The 25,361-nt window shown below is 32.8% G+C and overlaps 1 protein-coding gene across 1 annotated transcript in view; it reads left to right on the top strand.

The window, feature by feature from the left end:
* The window catches only part of CDH9 (cadherin 9), a 157,990-nt gene extending 134,631 nt beyond the window's left edge, over nt 1-23,359 (top strand). The window contains exons 6-12 of the mRNA NM_016279.4: nt 132-319; nt 1,227-1,480; nt 13,392-13,528; nt 13,999-14,120; nt 17,873-17,990; nt 18,091-18,342; nt 22,333-23,359. Of these exons, the coding sequence (NP_057363.3) occupies nt 132-319; nt 1,227-1,480; nt 13,392-13,528; nt 13,999-14,120; nt 17,873-17,990; nt 18,091-18,342; nt 22,333-22,820 (1,559 nt within the window). The 3' untranslated portion in view covers nt 22,821-23,359. The remainder of the gene's footprint in view (nt 1-131; nt 320-1,226; nt 1,481-13,391; nt 13,529-13,998; nt 14,121-17,872; nt 17,991-18,090; nt 18,343-22,332) is intronic.

Genomic DNA, 25,361 nt, shown 5'->3' with positions numbered 1-25,361 from the left:
GACAGCTTACAATTCAATATGATAAAAACTCTCCCTATTTAAAATTAATGTATTTAAGTTAAAAATGCAGAGGAAATGAAAAAATGTTATATAAAGATGAAATGTCAAAACAGCTCTTACTTAATTTATAGGTACGTATCAATTTAATTCTCCTGAGTCTGTACCTCTTGGAACTCATCTTGGAAGGATAAAAGCCAATGACCCTGACGTGGGGGAAAATGCAGAAATGGAGTATAGCATTGCTGAAGGAGATGGTGCAGACATGTTCGATGTCATCACTGACAAGGATACACAGGAAGGGATTATAACTGTCAAACAGGTTTCTTTTCACTGTCTTCATCTTTTCATTGAGTGCTTTATAATTTACGTTTGCTTTTCAGTAAAGGGAAAAAAAGCCTGGGATTTATTTTCCCCCATCTTTTACATGCTGTCTATCCTTCAGATAAATGAGAATAGTTGTGATATCACTTCAAGCAAGTTAAATGTCTTCATAATTGACACTTAAAACCTCAGTTGTTCATGCTAAAACTAGAAAACAGTCAAATTAAAATTAGATAAACTTCAAGGTACTTGTTTTGTATTTCTCCATAGAGGAAAATATAAACACACAGCCATCATTATTTCATGCACTTTTCAAAATATTTTCATTGTAAGTGTGATGATATATTTAAATAAATAAAACCTGAAGATGCTTTGTGTTTTCCATTGGTTGCCTCGATTTTCAATGCAATGTGGGAGAACATTCTTAATCTTTACATCTAATAATAGAGCTCAATATTATCATTTCATATTGTCCTTATTTCACTTTTTATTCATATCTTACTTTCCACAAGTGCTCAAATAATTGAAGTAGAAATAATTTTTATTCTATACTTCTATTTTATATTTTTCTTCTGATTATAACTGCATAACTTTAATAATGATAATACATAATGTATAAATCCATTAGATAATACTTCATTTACTTGTCACCAAAAAAATGAAGCATATTACTAAGTGAGAATCAATCTCAATGTGTATGCCATTATATTAAGTTAACCCTCTGTGAATAAGTGTATGGCAAAACATATATTTATAAATTTATTTCATATACCTATGAAGCAATCATTGTCATTTAAATAGAATTGTTGGTATAATCATGATCGCTGGCTATTAAAATTTGAAATCGTCTTTCATTGTCATATCTTCTGAATTATGCTAATTTCTTTTATGTTATTTAACTCCAGAATTTAGATTTTGAAAATCAAATGCTCTATACTTTAAGAGTGGATGCAAGTAACACTCACCCTGATCCACGATTCTTACACCTGGGACCTTTCAAAGATACAGCTGTGGTCAAAATATCTGTGGAAGATATAGATGAGCCTCCTGTGTTCACTAAAGTCTCTTACTTGATAGAAGTAGATGAAGATGTAAAGGAGGGCAGTATCATTGGACAGGTTACAGCATACGATCCAGATGCCAGGAACAATTTAATAAAGTAAGTACTTTGAAAACATTTATTATGTTTTTAGAAATATAATAATCTCACTATTTACAAACTGTGTGAAAAAATGGTTGCACAATGTATAATCAAGCACAGTAATAATACCAATAATCTCACTATTTACAAACTGTGTGAAAAAATGGTTGCACAATGTATAATCAAGCACAGTAATAATACCAAACACTTCCAGAGAACAAATTCTTAGCTTGGCTGTCTTTGAAATGCTCTGGGTACAAGGTAGATAGTATTATAATTTGTTTTTGGGGAGGATAAAACTGAGGCACCAAGTACTTAAGTAATTTGCCCATTGTTTATTAGCAAAGCTGATTTTAAGAACCAGGCAGTTTAATGCCAGAGTCAATGATTTTAATACCTTTATTGTTGCCGTAGTCCTTGTCTCATTGTCCCTCTTGGTTAAATACAAGTTCAAATTAATAAGGAACTAAATAAATAAATTAGAAAAAAATGTTTTCCTAGAAAATATGAAATATTTTCTTTTGAAAATTGTTGGGCCTAACACATATCAAAATTTTTGAAGAATATTATGTCAATTATATTCTCATAACAGAGTATTACTAAAGATATGACATTTAAGTGAATAAGAAAGGTAAAAGTATTAATTTGTATAGCATATCTTTCCAAATTTTGAATAGTTTTCACCATTTTAAAGGTTTTAAATATGTCAGAAATATAAATGAATCTCATATATTGTTCAAAGGGGAATTTAAATATAGTTGGGGCATATATAGATTAATGCATGGGATGAATAATGATAGGTGGATGTGTGGAGGAACATATAGACAGCTGAAGAGATAGACAATACAATAATCTGTTAAATATATGGCTAATAAATTATCTAAAATTCTACTTTGCTTAACATTTAATTAGTTAGGGAAAATGGTTAAATTCTTTTCATGTTGTCCTTTACATATAGCATATTAATAATCACAATACTAAATATATAACCATTTAATTTTCATTTTAGGACTATCCAAATATGTTAATTCATAAAGCAATTTGTTGCACTAAATATATTTTAATGATGATTTAATTTGTTGGTGAGATTAAGAACATGTTAACCTTTGTAATTAAGAAACAGTCCATAAAATCCAATGTGTAGTTAATGCCTAGAGCTTATATTAGATTGAAAATTAGGGTTAGTTTTAGGTTTATTACAGTATAATTCACTAAACATCTGTTTTAAAAAAATACATTATCAGTATCAAATTATGTACTTGTTATATTGTTTAACATCATTTTGAAACACACCTTCTTGTTATTATTGGAGATTATTTACCTCTGGCAGGATTTTTACCATGATACATAAAATGCTTAATTAAAATGTTCATATTGCTTAAAGTAAAACTCTTGAAATAAAATGAAAAATTAATCTAGCCGTCCAATGACCAATGTATATGCACTAGCGTGTTCATATCCAAAGCAATGTAGATTTGTGTTTTATTGAAATGGTATATGAGTGCTTGTTGGTGTCTTTTGTATGAGGGTTTATTAGAAAAGAGTGTAAATTATTTTTATGTTTTCTGCAGTACTGAAATGGAAATAAAAGTATTCATCTATTTTTTAAAGGACAAGGGGTTGGTCATACCAGTAGCTACAAATGCTCAACAAGTGTCTGTTTTTTTATAGTATTTGTCATGTTTCAAAAAAATCATCAATGTTGGTTGTGTCTTGATTTCTCCTTAGTGTCTGTTGCACCATATTTTTATGCTAGAAATCCTACATTCATTTTAGAAGTAATTGATTGTAACTTGTTTCAGTGCAATCACACATTACTGGAAAACTGTAAACAATGACATCATATCAACTTAGATGATGAAACATGTTATTGCTGGACAATTGAACATTTTTGAGTCTGAATGAGACCAAATCTTTTTAATAATCCATGTTATCTTTTCTTCATTCATCTAGCATATTTGCTTATTAGGAATTCAGTAAATGCTGGGCACCTTGCAAGAGGCATGATGCCCCTTCAAGGTCACCAAGGCTATTTATTTTGTAAAATAAATTAGCCACTTAGTCACTTTTGCATGACGCTTATAAGAGATACCTTCTATAGTTTTGTTTTTCTGTAATGTTTTTGTCTAAATTTGGTAAAATGGAAGTACTGCTTCATAGAATACAGTAGGATATATAATATGCTCTTTAATTTTCTGAAAGAGTTTGCACAGAATTAGAATGTTTCCTTAATGTTTGGTAGGATTTAAAAATGACAATATTTGGGGCTGTAATTTTGCTTTTTATATGAGTTGTATCTACATATTTTATTTCTCTAGTAGTTACAGAATTATTCTGGTTATCTAATTATTTAATGAGCTAAGTTTTGTTTTTAATTTTTTATCTCTCAGGGAATTTGTAAATCTCATCTAAGTTGTCAAATGTATTAACATAAAGTTGTTCAAAATATTTTCACATTATCCTTTGATATCTGTAGTGATGAAAGCTATCTTTAATATTGTTAACTTTTATCTACTTTATCCTGATCAGTGTGACAAAACTTTTTTGAAATTTATTTATTTTCTCAAAAAAAACTAACTTCTGGTTTTATATATTTTTTGCTTATTTTTTTCTTTTTTTTTTTAAATTATACTTTAAGTTCTGTGATACATGTGTTTAACCGGCAGGTTTGTTACATAGATATACACGTGCTACGGTGGTTTGCTGCACCCATCAAACCGTCATCTACATTAGGTATTTTTCCTAATGCTATCCCTCCCCTAGCTCCCCCAACCCCTGACAGGCCCTGGTGTGTGATGTTCCCCTCCCTGTGTCCATGGGTTCTCATTGTTCAACTCCATTTACCCTCTACAGGCCCCAGTGTGTGATGTTCTCCCTGTGTCCATGTATTCTCCTTGTTCAACTTCCATTTATGAGTGAGAACATGTGGTGTTTGGTTTTCTGTTCCTGTGTTAATTTGTTGAGAATGATGATTTCCAGCTTCATCCATGTCCCGGCAAAGGACATGACCTCATTATTTTTATGGCTGCATAGTATTCCATGGTGTATATACAGTCTATCATTGATGGACATTTGGGTTGGTCCAAGTCTTTGCTATTGTGAATAGTGGTGCAATAAACATAAGTGTGCATGTGTCTTTATAGTAGAATGATTTATAATCCTTGGGGTATATACCCAGTAGTGGGATTGCTGGGTCAAATGGTATTTCTGGTTCTAGATCCTTGAGGAATCACCACACTGTCTTCTACAATGGTTGAACTAATTTACATTCCCACCAACAGTGTAAAAGTGTTCCTATTTCTCCACATACTCTCCAGCGTCTTTTGCTTCCTCACTTTTTGATGGTTGCCATTCTAATTGATGGAGATGGTGTCTCATTGTGGTTTTGATTTGCATTTCTCTAATCACCAGTGATGATGAGCTTTTTTTCATATGTTTGTTGGCCGCATAAATGTCTTCTTTTGAGAAGTGTCTGTTCATATCCTTCACTCACCTTTTGATAGGATTGTTCATTTTTTCTTGTAAATTTGTTTAAGTTCTTTGTAGATTCTGGATATTAGCTCTTTGTCAGATGGATAGATTGCAAAAATTTTCTCCCATTCTATAGTTTGCCTGATCACTCTGATGCTAGTTTCTTTTGCTGTGCAGAAGCCCTTTAGTTTAATTAGATCTCATTTATCAATTTTGGCTTTTGTTGTCATTGCTTTTGGTGTTTTAGTCATGAAGTCTTTGCCTATGCCTATGTCCTGAATGGTATTGCCTAGGTTTTCTTCTAGGGTTTTTATGGTTTTAGGTCTTACGTTTATGTCTTCAGTCCATCTTGAGTGAATTTTTGTATTATGTGTAAGGAAAGGATCTAGATTCAGTTTTCCGCATATGGCTAGCCAGGTTTCCCAACACCATTTATTAAATAGGGAATCCTTTCCCCATTTCTTGCTTTTGTCAGGTTTGTCAAAGATCAGATGGCTGTAGATATGTGGCATTATTGCTGGCTCTGTTCTGTTCCACTGGTCTGTATATCTGTTTTGGTGCCAGTAACATGCTGTTTTGGTTACTGAAGACTTGCAGTGTAGTTTGAAGTCAGGTGGCGTGATGCCTCCAGCTTTGTTCTTTTTGCTTAGGATTGTCTTTGCTATAAGGGCTCTTTTTTGGTTCCATATGAAATTTAAACTAGTTTTTTCTAATTCTGTGAAGAAAGTCAATGGTGGCTTGATGGGGATAGCATTGAATCTACAAATTACTTTGAGCAGTATGGCCATTTTCACGATACTGATTCTTCCTATCCATGAGCATGGAACGTTTTTTCCTTTGTTTGTGTCCTCCCTTATTTCTTTGAGCAGTGATTTGTAGTTCTCCTTGAAGAGGTACTTCACATCCCTTGTAAGCTTTATTCCTAGGTATTTTATTCTCTTTGTAGTGATTGTGAATGGGAGTTCACTCATGATTTGGCTCTCTGTTTGTCTGTTATTGGTGTATAGGAATGCTTGTGATTTTTGCACATTGATTTTATATCCTGAGATTTTGCTGAAATTGCTTATCAGGTTAAGGAGATTTGGGGCTGAGACGATGGGGTTTTCTAAATATACAATCATGTCATCTGCAAACAGACACAATTTGACTTCCTCTCTTCCTACTTGAATACCCTTTATTTCTTTCTCATGCCTGATTGCCCTGGCTTGAACTTCCAATACTATGTTGAATGAATAGGAGTGGTGAGAGAGGACATCCTTGTCTTGTGCCAGTTTTCAAAGGGAATGTTTCCAGCCTGTGCCCATTCAGTATGATATTGGCTGTGGGTTTGTCATAAATAACTCTTACTATTTTGAGATACGTTCCCTCCATACCTAGTTTATTGAAAGTTTATAGCATGAAAGGGTGTTGAAGTTTATTGAAGGCCTTTCCTTCATCTATTGAGATAATCATGTGGTTTTTGTCATTGGCTCTGTTTATATGATGGCTTACTTTATTGATTTATGCATATTGAACCAGTCTTGCATCCCAGGGATGAAGCCAACTTGATCGTGGTTGATAAGCTTTTTGATTTGCTGCTGGATTGAGTTTGCCAGTATATTACTGAGGATTTTCACATCAATGTTTATCAGGGTTATTGGCCTGAAATTTTCTTTTTTTGTTGTGTCTCTGACATGTTTTGTTATCAGAAAGATGCTGGCCTCATAAAATGAATTGGGGAGAGTCCCTCTTTTTCTATTGTTTGGAATAGTTTCAGAAGAAATGGTACCAGCTCCTCTATGTATCTCTGGTAAAATTTGGCTGTGAATCCGTCTGTTCTTGGGCTTTTTTTTTGTTGGTAGGTTATTAATTACTGCCTGAATTTCAGAATTTGTTATTGGTCTATTCAGGGATTCAACTTCTTCCTGGTTTAGTCTTTGGAGGGTGTATGTGTCCAGGAATTTATGAATTTCTTCTAGTTTTTTTAGTTTATATGCATAGAGGTTTTTATAGTATTCTCTAATGGTAGTTTGTATTTCTGTGGGATCACTGGTGATATTCCCTTTATCATTTTTTATTGTGTCTATTTGATTCTTCTCTCTTTTCTTCTTTATTAGTCTGGCAAGTGGTCCACCTATTTCTTAATCTTTTCAAAAAAACTACTCCTGAATTCATTGATTTTTTTGAGGGTTTTTTTGTGTCTCTATCTCCTTCAGCTCTGCTCTGATGTTAGTTATTTCTTGTCTTCTGCTAGCTTTTGAATTTGCTTGCTCTTGCTTCTCCAGTTCTTTTAATTGTGATGTTTGGGTGTCAAGTTTAGCTCTTTCCCACTTTCTCCTGTGGGCATTTAGTGCTATAAATTTCCCTCTAAACACTGCTTTAGCTGTGTCCCAGAGATTCTGTTATATGTGTCTTTGTTCTTATAGGTTTCAAATAACTTATTTATTTCTGCCTTCATTTCATTCTGTTGTATAATGAAATGAAATTTTCATTTCATTCTATTGTATAATGAAATGAAATTTTCATTTCATTCTATTCTATAATGAAATGAAATTCATTTCATTTCATACTATTGTATAAATGATATACTATCATGTATATTATACATCATAAATAAATATTTAGATTAGAGATATATACAATCTTTACATACACACATATACTTGGTGTGTATGTGCATATAAAATCTCCCTATATCTGATAATTTCCATGTGTGTATATAAAACCTCTCCTGTATCTGATAATTTCCCAAGGATATAATTTCAAAAGTAAAATTTCTCATTCAAAGACTGATAGTAAAATTTGCAAACTTGCTTCCCAGTGTTTAAAAAAATGGCTTTAAAAAAGTTCAGTTTAAAGGTCATCCGGAAATCTTTGTTTTGTATAGGGTACTCAAGTCCTAGAAATAATCAATTATAATTTCACCTGTAGCATCTCAAGATTATTATAAGGAGTGGAAAAATATTGAGCGAAATTAATCTCAAATTGTATTCTTCAGATGGTACTACCAATTCTGCCAATTTGCAAGGCCATACCGGAAAGCATAGCACAGAGGATGGCTTCTGTTAGCATTCAAAATGTATGCAAAAAAGCCTTAGATATCCAATTATAGTGTGAAGAAAAATCAGCAATAATTCAACAAGAATGCAACATTGTAGCATGGGACTGTTTTGTTTGCTACGATCAAATTTAGAAGGATGACTGATCTCAGAGCAGAAATAGGCTATGATAAGCATCACAGAGAAACATTTTTCCAGGGAAAGATTGGGAACTAATTCTCATCCACGATTAAATCTGTTCATCAAATATATTTTCTGAAATACATCTGCCACTTGCAACATGAGATTATGGTTACAATTAGCAGCTGTTGTCAGCTCTGCTTCACCTCATTAGTAATCACGAATCTCCAAAGTTATAGGGTTGATTATAGCTTTACAAGATCTGAAATAACATGTTGCCTCATTTTACACCTATTTTATGCTTAACGTATTTAAAGTTCAATGATTTTTAAAAGATCCTTTCTACTGCTGTGGAATTGAAAAGTAACAAAACAAACTTTCTGGTGAGGGATTTAATTATGCCTCAATAAAATGTCCATGACTTCAAAATAAACTGGAATAAATGTGTAAGTGCATTCCTGTATAGTGGTGCTTCTCTCATATTTGCTTGATTTTATTGCAAAAGGTAAAATAATAATAATCTAACAATAATATCACTAATCTCTGCAAAAAAGATTTGAACTATTTTTTCAAATGAAATTATAAATAATGTCATTGTATAGCTAATACTCAATATTCATTTTTGAGGGATAATGAATGGCTAGGTCACAGCTATGAAAACATGTTTCTGGAAAGCAGTAGCTGAAAAGTAAAAAGCAAATTATGTCCTACCTAAATTGACTTAGTCAGTGGAAGAAATATATGGAATCCAGCAGAGAAAAAGGAATGCATTCTTGACATATTTCTGCATATTACTCATTTATTCTGGTGTCTATAATTGAGTTTAGATTATTTGTGCTAGGTAAAAATATAGATATATGATACATGCTTGACTTTTAATGGTAGAACATAAAAATATAAAGCAAATAAGAAAAATGAAAAGCAGAGTTCAGCTTTTGTGGGAAGAGAGCCCTTGTGCTCTCTTTCACATGTTATTTGATGCCTATATGATTGGATCCTGTCTCTGCAGAGAGTATTTATACAAAACTTATGACAATGGCCTTTTTAAACTGATTGTTCAAAATTCAATGCAGGGGGACCAATAAAATATTGTTGTTATAGTAGGCCATCTGCTGGAACATAGAGATAGCTTTGTTCTGTGTTAAGGGTTTATCAGGCTCTTTCTGGTCATTTGTGGTAATCCAATGTATTTATTATTAATAAGTAAATCTGAATGTGCTATTCTGGGTGAAAATAGAAGTTTGGCTGCTAAATAAAAGAAAATTATCTCTGAGCTTTGACAAATTGTGAGACATCACTTGCACTGGAAACAAAAATTTGAATATAGACCTGGAAGTTGGCGCTGTCAAAGTTAAAAGTGAGCTATTTCTGTATCGTCTGTGAGTGCCTTCATGAATTCTTAAAGTGAAAAACAGTGTCTTTCAAGGTTGTACCTAAGAGTAAGGTGGCCAGAAACCCAAATCTATTTTGATCCTGAAAAAAGATACAAGTGTATCAAAGCTTGATTTTTATCATGTTGCAATTGTTAGCTATTCCTCAGTTATAGAAATACCATCAAAATCTCTAGGCTAAACGCTAGGGCAGCTAGCAATGAGCACAAAAGGAAATTTTATTTTCCTCTTTGACCTTCAATGCAAACAGCAGGAAGAAATCCAAGATCTATTCAGACATAAGCAGGTAATGGTTAACTATTGACCTTTCCAACAATAGAGAGAAATATTTACAGGTGAATATTATGAATTGAGCTCCATTCAATGCACAGATGTAATTATGTTCTTTTGCTTCCTCTTTCTTTGTGTACGTTTTAGGTTTGTTTTTATTCATAAGCAGAATTTGTGTAGCTAAGGAAAATAAAATATTTTTGTTGTTCCAATGACTTTATTTGCTTTTCTCTCAAAAACCTTATAATAGTGATTTGGTCCCAACATCAATAAAGCCCACATCAGGAATTGTGAAAGGGTTGAAACCTATAGGTAGGAAACATAATATTTTGTTTCATGTTAGCACAACTGGAAATAGAGGTTTAAAAGAAAAATTTCAGTATGACTTGCATGCTCAATTTTACTACATTGTTATTTTGCAAATCGGATCTATCTCTGATAATACTCTGACAAACAATTGTTGGCTAAAAGCCAGCATGACATTTGCTTCCAAAAATAAAAATAAAATAAAATAAAATAAAATATATATATATGCTGTTATGCATTCTTACATATTTTTATATCTAGGTTTCTATTTCTCCTTTATAGCCTTAGGACTTCCCACCCAAGAAATATAGGCTACTCTTGGGCAGCAATCATATGTCAAATGAGTGTATTTTAAGTGCCTAAATTCTTTTCATAACACCATGTGAAAAGATTACAATAACGATTATTGAAAAACTGAGGGAATACTATCATTTGCATGTACTTCTGTTGTGCATTGTAAAATCCTGTTGAATGACAAAACAGAGACAACTGAACTGGTTCCATGTACTGGGAGTGAGGTAAAACCTGAGACCAAGTATATAAGTTTTTAGCCATTCCACCACTGAGATGACACCAAATAACTTTTTTCCAAAGGCCCAAATACTCTCTTTGAAGCAGTATCTATGACTCAGCAATAATTGTTTTATAAAATTTAGCAGAAAATAAATTAAGCAAGCATCTTCATGTACTATATTAAATTGTTAAAATTATGATCAGACCCATTTACTTAATAGATCCCTTAAGTTCAGCATAATTCTTAAACAATAGATTAAATAGTATGTCCTTTAATAAACAATTCAAACAAAAGAATCATACAATTTAGGTTAATGTATGTTCACCCAATAATTTAAAAATTGCCAATACTGGCAGGGTGTGGTGGTTCACGCCTGTAGTCCTAGCACTTTGGGAGGCCAAGGCAGGCGGATCACGAGGTCATGAGATCGAGACCATCCTGGCTAACACGGTGAAACCCTGTCTCTACTAAAAATACAAAAAAAAATTAGCCGGACATGGTGGTGGGCGCCTGTAGTTCCAGCTACTCGGGAGGCTGAGGCAGGAGAATGGCGGAAACCTGGAAGGCGGAGCTTGCAGTGAGCCGAGATCGCGCCACTGCACTGCAGCCTGGGCGAGAGAGTGAGACTCAGTCTCAAAAAAAGAAAAGAAAAACAACAACAACAACAAAAAAATGCCAGTACTTCATAATGTTTCAAAACCTAAATGTCTATTACTTATGTTTGCCAAAGCCAGCACCAAACTGTGAATATATTTAAGATTTACAGTGGGAGCTGTAATTTCCCAATTCACTTGATCAAAAGGGAGTTCATAATAAGATGCCTTAATAAGATACCTAGAAAAATGAGGACTACAGCAGAGGCTGATTAGCCTGTTAATTGTCTTGCATTGCTTTTCCTGTTTCCGTTCTTATTCTAATCACTTCATCCCATAGCCTAAAACTGCTATATAAAACCTAGCCTGTGGAGCTACAGCATAGGATTCATCTAAGAGTTTGTTAAAAATGCACAATCTCAGCTCCCACCCCAGACCTACTGAATCAAACTCTGTTTTTAACAGGATTCGTATGTGATTCACCTAAATGTTAATGTTTGAGAAGCACTCACTTTCTGATATGGCTCAATTAAAGACTGCAACAGAAATCTCACAAAGATGTAAAAAATTAACTAGTACGGCATAACATGGTCTGATGTAACTGAAGGACTTTCATATAAATTAATCTTTTCAAAAATTTATCTTTTAAGGATATATTAGATTTCTATTGCTGCCACAAAAATACTATAAATGTATTATTATCTTATAGATAGGTCTGAACTTTTGTGGATCAGAAGTTCAGTATGTGTCTCACTGGGCTAGAGTCAAGGTGGGCGGTGTGAACAGGGCCATATTTCTTTCCGTATATTCTAGGCAGGGAATTGCTTCCTTGATCATTCAGGTTGTGAACAGATTTCAAGTCCTTGCAGTTGTGTGGGGAAGGCCCCTGTTTCCTTGCTGGATGTCAGCTTAAGGACCATTCCTAGTTTTTAGAGGCTGCCTATGTTCATTTTTTATTGGTTTGTGGCTCCATTCCTTCAGCTTTAAAGCCAGCAACAATGGGTCAAGTACTTCTTAGTCTTCAAATCTCTTCTCTTTTTTTCTTCTGTTTCATCTCTCTAAACCAATTTTCTGCCTTCCCATTTCACTTTGTTTGTTTGTTTGTTTGTTTTTGAGATGGAGTCTCACTCTGTCACCCAGGCTGGAGTGCAGTGGTGCCATCTCGGCTCACTGCAACCTCTGCCTCCTGGGTTCAAGTGATTCTCCTGCCTCAGCCTCCCGAGTAGCTGGGATTACAGGTGTCTGCCACCATGCCTGGCTAATTTTTGTATTTTTAGTAGAGACGGGGTTTCACCATGTTGGTCAGGCTGGTCTCGAACTCCTGACTTCAGATGATCCACTCACCTCGGCCTCCAAAATTTTGGGATTACAGGCGTGAGCCACCGCACCTGGTCTTCCCATTCCACTTTTAAGGGCTCATAGGATTAAACTAGACACACCTTGATAATCAGGGATAATTCCCTGTTTCAGTGTTTTAACCTTAATCACATCTGCAAAATTACTTTTGCTGTGTAAAACAACATCTTCACAGGTTCTGGGGATTAGGGTATAGACATCTTAGGGAGAGGAGATATTATTTTGCCAACTGCAGAGTCTTATCTTTAATAAGATACAAAGCTTACAATGACCTCTTCCAAATACAGCCCTAATGAGAAAGTCACAGAACTCTGTGGTGATATAACATTTCATTTTGATTTGAAATAAGTTGGAGGGATAGAGTAGAGAAAGACCTTGATTCAGCTGGATATTCCTTGAATAAAAAAACATTCAAGAGCGATGTATTTTATAATAGCCTTCTCGATATTCACTTATAGAGGACTCTGGACACAGTTATGTATTTTTTAACATACTTTCGATTTATTCATTACTATTGACTCAGTCAAGTTTAACATTACTGTTTAAAGTGTCTCAAGCACTGCAGTAGGCCTACGATAGGATAAGTGAACCAAGTGATACTTAAGAACTCACTTTAACAGCTGCCATCCAGATTCATGTGTATAAATAACAGTTCTAAAGTACACATAGGATAATATAGTAAGTAGAAAGAGTCAAACATATGAAATTGCTCAAATAACAATTCTATAAAATAAAAATTCAAGAAAGTTGTTAGCATTTTGCATTTCATGTCTTTGTCAGATCATTGTGGAAATTACCTATAGCTTTAAGAAAGAGTAGAACTAATAACCTTAGAAGAATGCCTGGATTTATGAGTCTGTCTTCTGCCAGGTACTCTGTTGATCGGCATACTGATATGGACCGTATTTTTGGTATTCACTCAGAAAATGGTTCTATTTTCACTTTGAAAGCCCTTGACCGGGAATCATCTCCTTGGCATAACATCACTGTTACAGCCACAGAAATAAGTAAGTTGGAGCTACATCTACCCGAAGACACTGTCTTTCATCAAAGTGGTAAAATAATAGCACCAGCTAGACTCATTTTCTTGAGTGGTATGATTGTATCCTTAGCAAGATCTTAGAGAAATGGCTTAGAATATCAACACATTTTTAAATTATTTTTAAGGATTATCAAATCATTCATTTCAAATTTGATTTTCTTTTACACCTTATATAGGAGAGAAATATAATTTAACCTCATAAAAATAATCTAAGAAAATTATCTATTACAAATAATACTTCATTCTCAATTATGTTTTCCTCAATTTTATTGTGCTTTTCTTTTGGACCATGTAAGAGAGCTGAGATATTCATCAGCAGCCCAATTGAGAAAGTGAACACCACAAAAAGGATCTGTTGCTAAGCTACAAATGGGTGAGTGGTTTCACTGCTTCTGTGTAAATGAGACTGAAATCTTACACGTGTTCTCGTTGCAGATAACCCAAAACAAAGTAGCCACATCCCTGTCTTCATCAGAATTCTAGATATAAATGACCATGCTCCGGAATTTGCCATGTATTATGAAACATTTGTTTGTGAAAATGCAAAACCTGGGCAGGTAAATAAAATCATTAAAAACTTAAAAGAATATATTTTCTCTTTACAAAGTCAAATGACATTACATCACTTTATTTGCAGGATTTCTTTTGTGCAGGCTGTTGTCAATACTTCTTGTCCACCATTTATCCTTAACAAAGAACTCACAGTGATTTTTTAAAAAGGTGATTTAAAAATGTTTTTATAATGGAATCAATAATATAGTAGGGAATATTATAACATATGTTTTAATTTATATACTAGGTTTATAGTGAATATCACATATGTAGAAGCTGTTACCTGCATTCATAATTATGCTTATGCTGAGTTATCTTCACTAATAGAATGAAAATATATCATTAAATAAAACCTGAAGTATGAAAATGAAATTGTTTCATGTTATTATAAAGGTAATCATAATCATTGTTTTCTTGATTACATTTTGCCACTTTTAATAGTTTCAGATTTTGATATGAGTGATATTTTGTAAGTTTTAAAGTTTCATATCATTGAAATGAAGTAGATTTGTTTGTAAAAGAATTATGAAGTCTTCTTACAAAGTAATTCTTTCAAATGTATATAAAGTAATTCTAAATAAATGCAGAATATGCTCATTTTTGACAAAAAAATGTAGTATTTTTCAATAACAGTAACTGCATAAATTTTACCAAAAGTAATTTAACCATGTAATTAACTACTTTAAAGATAAAATAGGTAGATGTTAAGAATCATCTTTAATTCTGTCATGTCTCTTTAAGGTAGAAAATAAACTGAAATACAGTTTTTCTTCTATTCCAATAGAGAATATTATGAACTGAATGTTTGTAGCCCTCCTCCAAATTCAAATCTTGAAAATGTAACCCTAGTGTCATTGTATTTGGAGATGGTGTTTCAAAGAAGTAATTAAGATGAAGTGAAGTTATAAGGGTATAGAGCCTGATCTGATGGAATTAGCATACAAAGAAAAGATAACAGAGAGCTCATGCTCTCTCTTTCTCCCTGTCCCTGAATTCGTGGGCCAAGGAAAAGCCATATGAGAGCACTCAGGGAGAAGGTAGCTATTAATATTTGCAAGCCCTCACCAGAAGCCAACCATGCTAGCCTCTAGATCTCAACCTTACATTCTCCAGAACTATGAGAAAATGCATTTCTGTAGTTTAAGCCATTGAGTGTGTGGGATTGTTATGGCAGCCCAGCTGACTAAGACAGAGATACACAGTACATTCCACCTACATATACAAAAATGCAAATGAGATTTTTATTTGTAATAACATGGAATTTTCACATAGCTATTTGGATAAAAATGTGCTTTTCTTTTTCATTTTGCAACATATAATGGGCATCTCAGTTTAGTAAATGATTTTTTTGAATTTGATGCTTAATTTTCATAACATAGTTACATATTACTTATTCAATTATTACCTTCTTAATGGAAATTTGGTTTATCCACAAAATGTTACCCTAGCAGTACCCCAGTTATACTATAATGAACACTGTAGTACATTTTGCTTGTTTACCACCTGGTACTCTTTCTTTTGATATAATTCTCAAAGTAGGAAAAATTAAATTGTATCTATAAATATTAATAACTATTCCCAAATACTTCTCCAAATCTGTCGTAAACTAGGTGATATTCCCACCAAATACATATGATTGCCTATGTACTTGGCAACTCTAGATTTTAAATGTCTGCCAATATGTAAATTTCTCATAACACTTTTAGTGTGAATTCTTTTAAAATCATTAAGGCCAAACATTTTTTTTTCATAAAAATGTGGACTTAAAAATAATTTACAGCTGTATTAGTTTCCAAGGGCTGCCATGACAAATTACCACAAACAGAATGACTTAAAACACAGAATTTTATTTCTCATAGTTTTGGAGGCTGGAAGTATAAAATTAACACGCAGCAGGGCTATCTATGCTCTCTCTAAAGGTTCTAGGAGACTATCCTCCCTTGGCACTTTCTAGCTTCATGTGCTTGCCAGCCATCCTTGACATCCTTTGGCTTGTGGACGCCAATTACTCCAATCTCTGTCTCCATCATTTCATGGCATTCTTCCTGTATCTGTTTCTGTGTCCAAACTTGCTTCTTCTTATGAGGACTCCAGTCATCGAATTAGAGTCCTCCTTAATTTAGAATGATCTTATTTTAACTTGATTTTATCTGCAAACGGCCTATATCCAAATAAGCCACATTCACAGGTACTGGGATTTAAGACTTGAACAGATATTTTGGGGGAACACAAGTCAACCTACAATCACATATAAATATTCTTTACTCACTTATCTATCAGTATGCTTGTCTTTTACTGATTCATGTGTGTTATTGATATATTATATGCTAATATTTTATAGAAATTAAGTATAATTAATATTAACTAATTATAATTATTTAATATATATTACCCTAATTGAATTTAACAAAGTTAAAAATAAAATAGATTTTAAGTATATGTATATCCTCATAAAATATACTTATACAAAGCTCATCTAATAATTTCAAGACTTCAAATGTCATATATAACTAAAAGACCAACTTTTTATGATTTAAATTATTACTAAAAGTTAGATTTGTTATTGCTATGTAGGAACAGAAGGTTGAGCAAAAATATTAGATCCTATATAATTATTTTCTTATATTCCAATTTTCTAAGGAGAAAAGTTTATTAAAAATTGTGCATTGTGCACTTTCAAAAGCACTTTATTAAAAATACAGTTACATATCATGCTGTCAAAATGATGTAATTATCATTAATATAAAATTAAAGTGAAAATAACACTGACTAGTGAGTATGTAGGTTAGTATAGTTATAAAAGGTATACAGTAAAACAATGGAAAGCTTAAACTATTGTGAATTTCAATAACTTTTCACCACACAATGTTAGACTATGAGACCTGTCTATTTTTGTAGAAGAGAACGTTAAAAGTCAGAGTAATTAAATGGCTGTGATTTCAAATCACACAGATGGGAGGCAACCCAATGTGTAGCTCAGTGCTTTTTCCACTATAAAATGCTCAGTGAAATTTTTCTGCCCAACCCATAGTTGGCTGTTCCATATTCCATTAGGACACACTTCTTATTTACTTACACTAGCTCAGCCAAGAGGTGCTCTAATTTTGAAACTTCAACATTGATTTTACAAAATCTTAAAAGCATTTCTTTGTATATCTGTCTTTGCAAATACTGTTAAAGGAAAAGCAAGCAATTTAAATAAAATAGTTCAATTATAGTAATGGTGTCCATAGCTTCAAAATCATTTTCTTTCTGATAGTACAGACAAATTTATTTATTTTAAAAATATATTAATAATATTGTTAATATATAGGAGGGATTGTGCTAAGCATTGGTGTTTTTAAAAATGCATCTTCTGTGTACTCGTCCTTTGAAGAATTATTGTCTAGTGGAAGTAACAGATTGCTCATCAATTAATAATACAATGGACTGTGCCTTTCAACAATATCAAAAGAGGATAGGTATTGGAGGGATTGAATTTTTCTTTAAGCTGGCCAGGTATAAGACAATAATGCATTAAGATACCTTGCAAACCATTGCTTAATGGATGTCTTCCACTCTTAACTAAATAAGTTATCTAAGACAAAACTGTAAAAAATAAGACATTGGCATAATTTTCTGAAAATGGCATTTATTTTGTTTTCTTGCTTTGTTTTCGTGATGTATTTAAAGCACAAATACATGGATTTAAGATATCTTGTAATAACAAGAACATTGCCTTAGGCTTAATTAATTAATTAATTAATTTTGGTTTCAGTTGATTCAGACTGTCAGTGTCATGGATAAGGATGACCCTCCCCGAGGTCACAAATTCTTTTTTGAACCAGTGCCAGAATTTACTCTCAATCCGAATTTCACCATTGTAGATAATAAAGGTATAAGAAAATTTCTAAAACTAAAAATTATGAAACTTTAAGATACACAGTTAAAAACAAATATGAAAGTTTTTGTTTTTTTACATGTTTTCTCCCCCAGATAATACAGCAGGAATCATGACTCGGAAAGATGGCTACAGTCGCAACAAAATGAGCACCTACTTATTGCCGATTTTAATCTTTGACAACGATTATCCAATTCAAAGCAGCACTGGTACACTCACTATCCGTGTGTGTGCCTGCGATAATCAAGGAAACATGCAATCCTGCACCGCAGAAGCCCTGATCCTTTCAGCCGGCCTGAGCACGGGAGCTCTCGTTGCGATTCTACTCTGTGTCCTCATACTGCTTAGTAAGCTCTGCCCCTCTGAATGATCCTTTAACTCACAAAAATCTCTCCCTCACTGTCTGAGCATGGTGCACTGAATAACAATTTTCTCTATAGATAAAGATAGAACATTTTCACTTTTTATTAAAATTCTTCTTTCAATTAGGAAAAAATAAGCGTTTTTGTGTGTGGGGATAGGCCCAGCTTTCCAGAGACCAAAAAGAAACATCTAACAAATGCTATACACATGCGTATTTAAAAATATATACTTTATAGCATTAGCTATTATATTTTTGACTATGTTCACTGTTCTAAGGACATTTGATTTCATTGATTTCATCTTTGCATCAACTGTATAAGGTAAATACTTTTCTTCTAGAGAAAGGCTGCATAATTTACTCAGTCACTCATTTAGGAAAAGCTTTAGCTAGTATTCAAACACAGATTACTCTACCATAGAGTTCTCCTTTCTATTATTCCCAAACCAAAGACTACTTTGCCCTTATAGTTACTAACTGTTAACAGTTACTAACATATTCTGAATTATCTATATCAGATGTCTAACATGCAAATGTGTTAAAGTTGTCACAGTAAGTTAGACATTTTCCCCTATATAACTTGTTGTGCATTGGTGTGACATAACAAATTAAAAAATTAAAATTCTGTTTTAAAAAATATCACTATGTCGCTGTGGTCCTACCTAGCCCTGCAATATTTTCTAAATAAAGTCATGTTCCAACAGCGAATGTTTTATTTGAGCATGCACTAACAGGACAACGATTTAATTCAATTAAACAGTTGTTCCACTGGAAAACATTCCCCAAAAAATTGTTTCTATCAAATATTCAGCCCAAATGCTTATGCTTAGGGCAGGAGAGCTAGCCAAATTTATGTTCTAATGCTCGTATGTGCTAGCTCCTTTTCTCTGCAAATCCTTTCAAGCTATCTGGATGAAATCCCTTTGGCCAGATATCCTTGCAGGACTTCAGTAGGGGATTGATGAAAGTGAGGGAAAAACATTTGTCTCAGTTAAGATGTTCCAACTATTTTGAAAAACATTTTCTCAGTGTGGTTTAGAACAAACACACTGCTACCATCACCATCAGCAGTTTCAATCCCCACCTACTGCTAGAGAGTTCAACTCCTCTGTAAAATATTTTTATATTCCTATGGAGATAAAAATTTGGCTTAGCCTTTTAGCTAAGTGCTACTGATTTCACGTTGTTTTATTCGCTCAGGAAGTTCCACTTTCCTAATTTAGAACAACATGTAAATATGTTTATTGTTAGATCATTTTTAAAATTTCTATATTAATGTAATGCACATACACACAAAGACAGTCATGCACACATAGGGAACTGAAAGCATCCCCCCAAATCAGTTTAGATATTTTAACATTGTCAAATTAATTTGATACTATTTTTTTCTATGCAGAAATCCTAGAAGGTTTCCTCTTCTGTTCTGCAGTCAGCCACCTTTGTTCCTTGAGCAATATGGAAAGCACTAATTTCTTATTTTTCACTTTCCCAGCTCATTGCCTAAATGTGGAGTAATTTTTTATTATTGTAGTTAAAATTGCTTCTAATTTAGAAATTTATATTTGCAAAGTTATTAAAGCACTTTATTGTTATTTTGAGTCTTTATGGTAATAGCTGGACGTAGTTAATGCATTTCTATAGTTAAGAGAGTTTGCTTTTCATAAGATAGTGACATAGCACTGACAATAATATTTTAAATGTACTTTCGTACATTTTGAAGAAATGTAGCTCTTAGTTTATATCTATTTTATAAGGCAAGATGGAAGATTAAAATCTAGGGCAGGGCTTTTTAAACTTTTTGGTTGTAGGGACACTTTTCAGCCTGATGAAAAGAATGGATCTAGCCAGAATGATGATTTAAATTTATTAGAGTAAAACATGTAAGACAAAAAGGAAATACGCTTACACAAATGAAACAAAAAACACAAAGAAAACCGTGCTTGCTTATCAAATCACACATGCTGTGTTCTGGAGCAAGTCTAACTATGGTTTGATTTATCTGTCAAACTGTAATGCAATATGAAATATCTGTCACACACACTGCCACTATCACCATAGTTTATGCCAATAATCCTATTGAAAAAAATGCTAAATTTGAGTTACAGATGGATGGAAATAATGATGTACTTTTTTTCATTTCTTATCCTATTCTTCCTGAATTCTGTTCACGTGCCCCAGATTAATAACCTCAATCTAAGAAATGATCGGATAATTTTAATACGGTAGAAAAGGAAAAGCTCAGAACAGATTCTAAGGACCATTTGTGGGAATTAGTACATTTTTATTAGTTGAGAAACCCTTAATACAATTTGACTACACAATTGTTATTTTACTGATTGAAAAGTGGAGAACTTATAAATTTATTTAATATTAAATTTAGAAAGAAATCTCTTTTTCTAGTGCATGGCTCAAATTTGATAGATGTCAGATCTATGTTGGACTTAATTAATCTTATGTCCATCTTTTAAAAGAAGAGTACAGAGGTCTCATTTTTACTGCAGTTTTATATATATATATATATATATATATATATATATATATATATATATATATATATAAGATGATCCTGAATATAGCTCAGCTTCCAAAGCCCATTCTGTGAAGGCTAACTACAGATACTTCTAATTATCTTTCATAAAATCTTACTTTCAGTTAGGAAGAGCTGAGAAAAGTCTGCTGGCCAATGTGAAAATAACACTGGACAGGGCTTTAGTGTAGTTATAGGGGCCTCACGGGCCATGTTGAAGTGTAGTCTCAATGACAATGAGTATGCTTTGTTTAATCTCAATGTAAAAATTGAGAAAAAGAATAATAGCTTCTTCAGCCAACATTTTCTTATTTTCTGTGAAGCATAAATAATACTGACAAACAGTTAAGAACCCTAAAGTAAAGGAAATCTAGTTTGTATTTTTCCCTGGTAATGCTGAAGTGTGTTTTGAAGATATTTTCTTGGTTTTATTCTCACCTTTCTTATATGTAAAGCTATGGGCTTGTGCAATCTTTAATGGAAAATTTATATTTTTAAAATCGTGTTTGCTTCTTTTAAAATGAATCTTATTAATTGCAACATGCATTTATTAGAAAAAGGTTCATCTTCCAGTACACATAATTTGAATCCCAGTATTATAATGAGAAATAAGAAAATATATTATATGAGGGGAAGTTCACAGTTAACTATGTAACATAGACATGTAAACAATAAAAATAATACAGCAAATAGAGGGAATACAATTAACGTTTCATTCCAAAAGCTTAAATCGGACCTTGTATGTCAAGGAAGTCCTCATTAACAAGATACAGTCTGAGGTGTTTTGCACGATAAGTTAAAGATGAGTTTGAGTTTGAGTTTTATATTGTAACTTTTAGAGTTATATTTCAGCTTTCTAAGCCTCCTATAAAATTAGACCAGTAAAGGAATTTAGTTAAACCTATGAGATACGGGAAGTGGTAAAATCAGTGACTCATACATATTCATGTATGTGTGTATGTACACTCATAATATATAAATATAATGCATATACAAGTATATATGTATCTATATATGAGTAATGTTTTGCATATATTCCCTTGAATCATTAAGAAATGATACTTGTGCCAAAGTGAAAGGAATGATCAATATCACCATGAGTAGAGCTTTAGTGTTTTTGTATTTGAAATGAGTGCACATTTGGAAAGACTGCTGAGGTGTCAGGCAATTGCAGTTGGATAAATATAATAGTTGTACTTGAATAAAGCCAGAAGTTCATAGGAGAGTATGTCTTGACAGTAAATTAAAGGCATGGTAATATCTGCTCCTTTATCAATACAGTGCATCCAGTCATTGCCTAGAGGAACTCTGTATTTGTACAGGGTAGTTAATTCTTTTTATTCGATCAATCTTAATATCTCCTGCACCAAACGAATTTCACACTCAGAAGTGTACTCTATTTTATCCTGACTCATGAAATCTCACTATTTTCCCATTTCTTATTAATAGTTTTAGTCGTGTTGTTTGCTGCATTGAAGAGGCAAAGAAAAAAGGAACCTCTGATAATTTCAAAAGACGATGTCCGGGACAACATTGTGACCTACAACGATGAAGGCGGCGGGGAAGAAGATACCCAAGCTTTTGACATTGGCACATTAAGGAATCCAGAGGCAAGAGAAGACAGTAAACTTAGACGGGATGTAATGCCTGAAACTATTTTTCAGATAAGGAGGACTGTGCCTCTGTGGGAAAATATTGATGTACAAGATTTTATCCATCGAAGATTAAAAGAAAACGACGCAGACCCAAGTGCACCTCCATATGATTCGCTGGCAACGTATGCCTATGAAGGGAATGATTCCATAGCAGATTCGCTCAGTTCTTTGGAATCTCTCACAGCTGATTGTAACCAAGATTATGATTACCTCAGTGACTGGGGGCCTCGTTTCAAAAAACTTGCCGATATGTATGGGGGTGATGATAGTGACCGAGACTAAGAGGATTGTTTGACTTAATCAATATTAGTGGAAGTACTGTCTATGTTATTAGATTGAGTGGCCTGCATTCTCTTCCTGGGAGGAAATCTTTCAAAAATTGAAGTTACAAACAATACGTAGATGTTGTCAAGTAGGGATTTGCTTAATCAGTAAGTCTTTGTGAATGAATACGAATGATACAGATTTTTAAAAAAGTAATAACCAGTTCACCCTCTTTGCCTAACAATCTCGGAAGGAAAATATATCACATCAATAATCAATAAAAATAAGTAAAAGGCTTTTTGTGCCTTTTCTTAGGTATAATAATTTATAAATGTTTTCTTAACTGACTTTCAGTCACCTTTACAATTAAACTAAATATTGTGCAACCGCTTTGTAAATTAATATGAAGAAGATATATCCCTAATGAAATAGGAATGACTATTACTGCCATATTTATTTAGTTGAAGAATGTCTTTGTGTTAATTCATTCATATTTTTATAAATGTATATTTATATTTTTGTATTTTTATGAAATAAACTAGTATTTATAAAACACATTTCATTTTATTTAATTCCTAGAGGCAGATCTGATCTCATTTATAACAAAAATGTTTTACACCTTTAAATGTAAAACGTGATTCACTCAGGGAATAAGCAGTTCAGAAACTACTGCATGGATTTGGACCTACAATGTAGTGAAACTATAAAATAGCTTTGGTACAAATTGTTATTTTTCCGTTTCATCACTTAAATATTGACTAATGTTTATAGAACCACTGATGTCTAACCATCAATAGAGTATGAGACACATTTGGAATATAAAATATTATATATATACATATATATATAGTTGTGGATAATAAACTTTAAGTTTTTATTGCAAGTCTTTACTATGGATCAACTAGTGGATTATATTTGAGAGTAAATGAAGTGTGTATCAGTAATGTCATGTAGATATAGAAAAAATCTAAATCAACCTTCTCTAAAATGAGAAATCACAGTTCTAATTTTTTTTTCTTCATGATGAGACAATTAATGGAATATGTGCTCAGGTGTGGGTAACATGTTTAAAATGTGTATTGAAGACTAGAGAGCTTGTTTTTAAATTTATTATTTTATTGAGGAAATTCCAAGTCATTATATTTGAGAAAATTTTGAAAGAGCTAAGGAAAAGTAGAGAAAAGAAACCTAAAAGAATGCAATGGTTAACTAATGATTGCGATTGTCCAGAAAATAGAATGTAGGCACCTCAAAGCATGGGAGAGAAGAAGAGATGGGAATCGTAAACAATCATCATCTGCAAATATTTGAAAGACTGCCATGTGTAATCTGGCCCTGATATGGCCTACAGTGTAAAACTTAAACCAAGATAGGGGAACTTCACAGAGAGATTGCATGTTATCTATTTTCTGTGCCAAGAATTAACCTTTTATTCCTCTTTAATTATTCATCCTTTAGGCGGCAGATGCCATGCTCATGGTGATTCCTAGGTGGAATTCATATAGGAGAAATTTAACTTTGTCTAGTCTGTTACCAAGAGATTTTACTGAGCAAATACAAAATTATAAACATGTACTTATTTGTTGTTATATCACTATGTTGTAAAGTTTTTGTAGACCAGGACTAACTCAAGAACTTTATCTTCAGTAACTAACACACATTAAAGATTGAATTTAATGCTAAGAAAAAAAACATACTGGACTATTAAGAATTACTTGAAATGTTTCTCAGGACACAATCACCCAGGAAACAGAAAGATTTTTAGTTTCAGTTTTAATTTAGATAATTTTAGTTTTATCTTAGAAAGGAATTAGTTCCCCCATTGCCAAAACTCATCCATCATAGATCAGACAAATACTCGAATAGGATATGTAGAGTGGGTTGAGGTGATTAAAAATGTTAGGCATCGAGCAAGGCCTCTTATGATCACTTTATTCTATAATCACTACAAGGTTAAATAACAATAAGTAAATCAGCTCTAAGAAGACCTATACTGACTGTACATGTAATGGCTGTTTAAAAAAAGAAGACAATATGTGGCAGGAGAGATGAGGAAATTCGTAGTTACATAGCTTGCCTGGGCTTACCATGCTTGAAATACTAAGAACACTGCAACAAACCAAGCTACCTACAAGCTGTAGATCTCTGATTGATATGAGAGAGTCAGATTGTCATTAGATAGAATGAGACATTAAATATTTTAACTTGCGAAATATTATTTGGCTGTCTTTTTTTGAGAAATAATGAAGTTAGTTTCAAAGTTCTCACTTTTCTTGATCTGTGAAATGACTGCCCTATGGTAGTCTTTGTAAGGAGGACAGAGCTAGAAGAATTAATATTAACTGGTATGTGATTGTTTTTATATACCTGACTTAAAAGCAATGAATCAGAGGATCTGATTGAATGAAGGAAATTAACAGATCTGTGTAACACTAATACTTTCTATACTTTTCCAGTAATCTATGAAATGTCCATAATAGGAAAAATGCATTCAGGAGCCAGATGGACCAGATTTTATTATTTCCTTACTAGCAAACTAAATGAATCATTGAAATTCTT

Source organism: Homo sapiens, chromosome 5, assembly GCF_000001405.40.
Source record: "Homo sapiens chromosome 5, GRCh38.p14 Primary Assembly".
In the NCBI taxonomy this organism is placed as follows: domain Eukaryota; kingdom Metazoa; phylum Chordata; class Mammalia; order Primates; family Hominidae; genus Homo; species Homo sapiens.
This window is presented reverse-complemented; position numbering and strand designations above follow the sequence as displayed.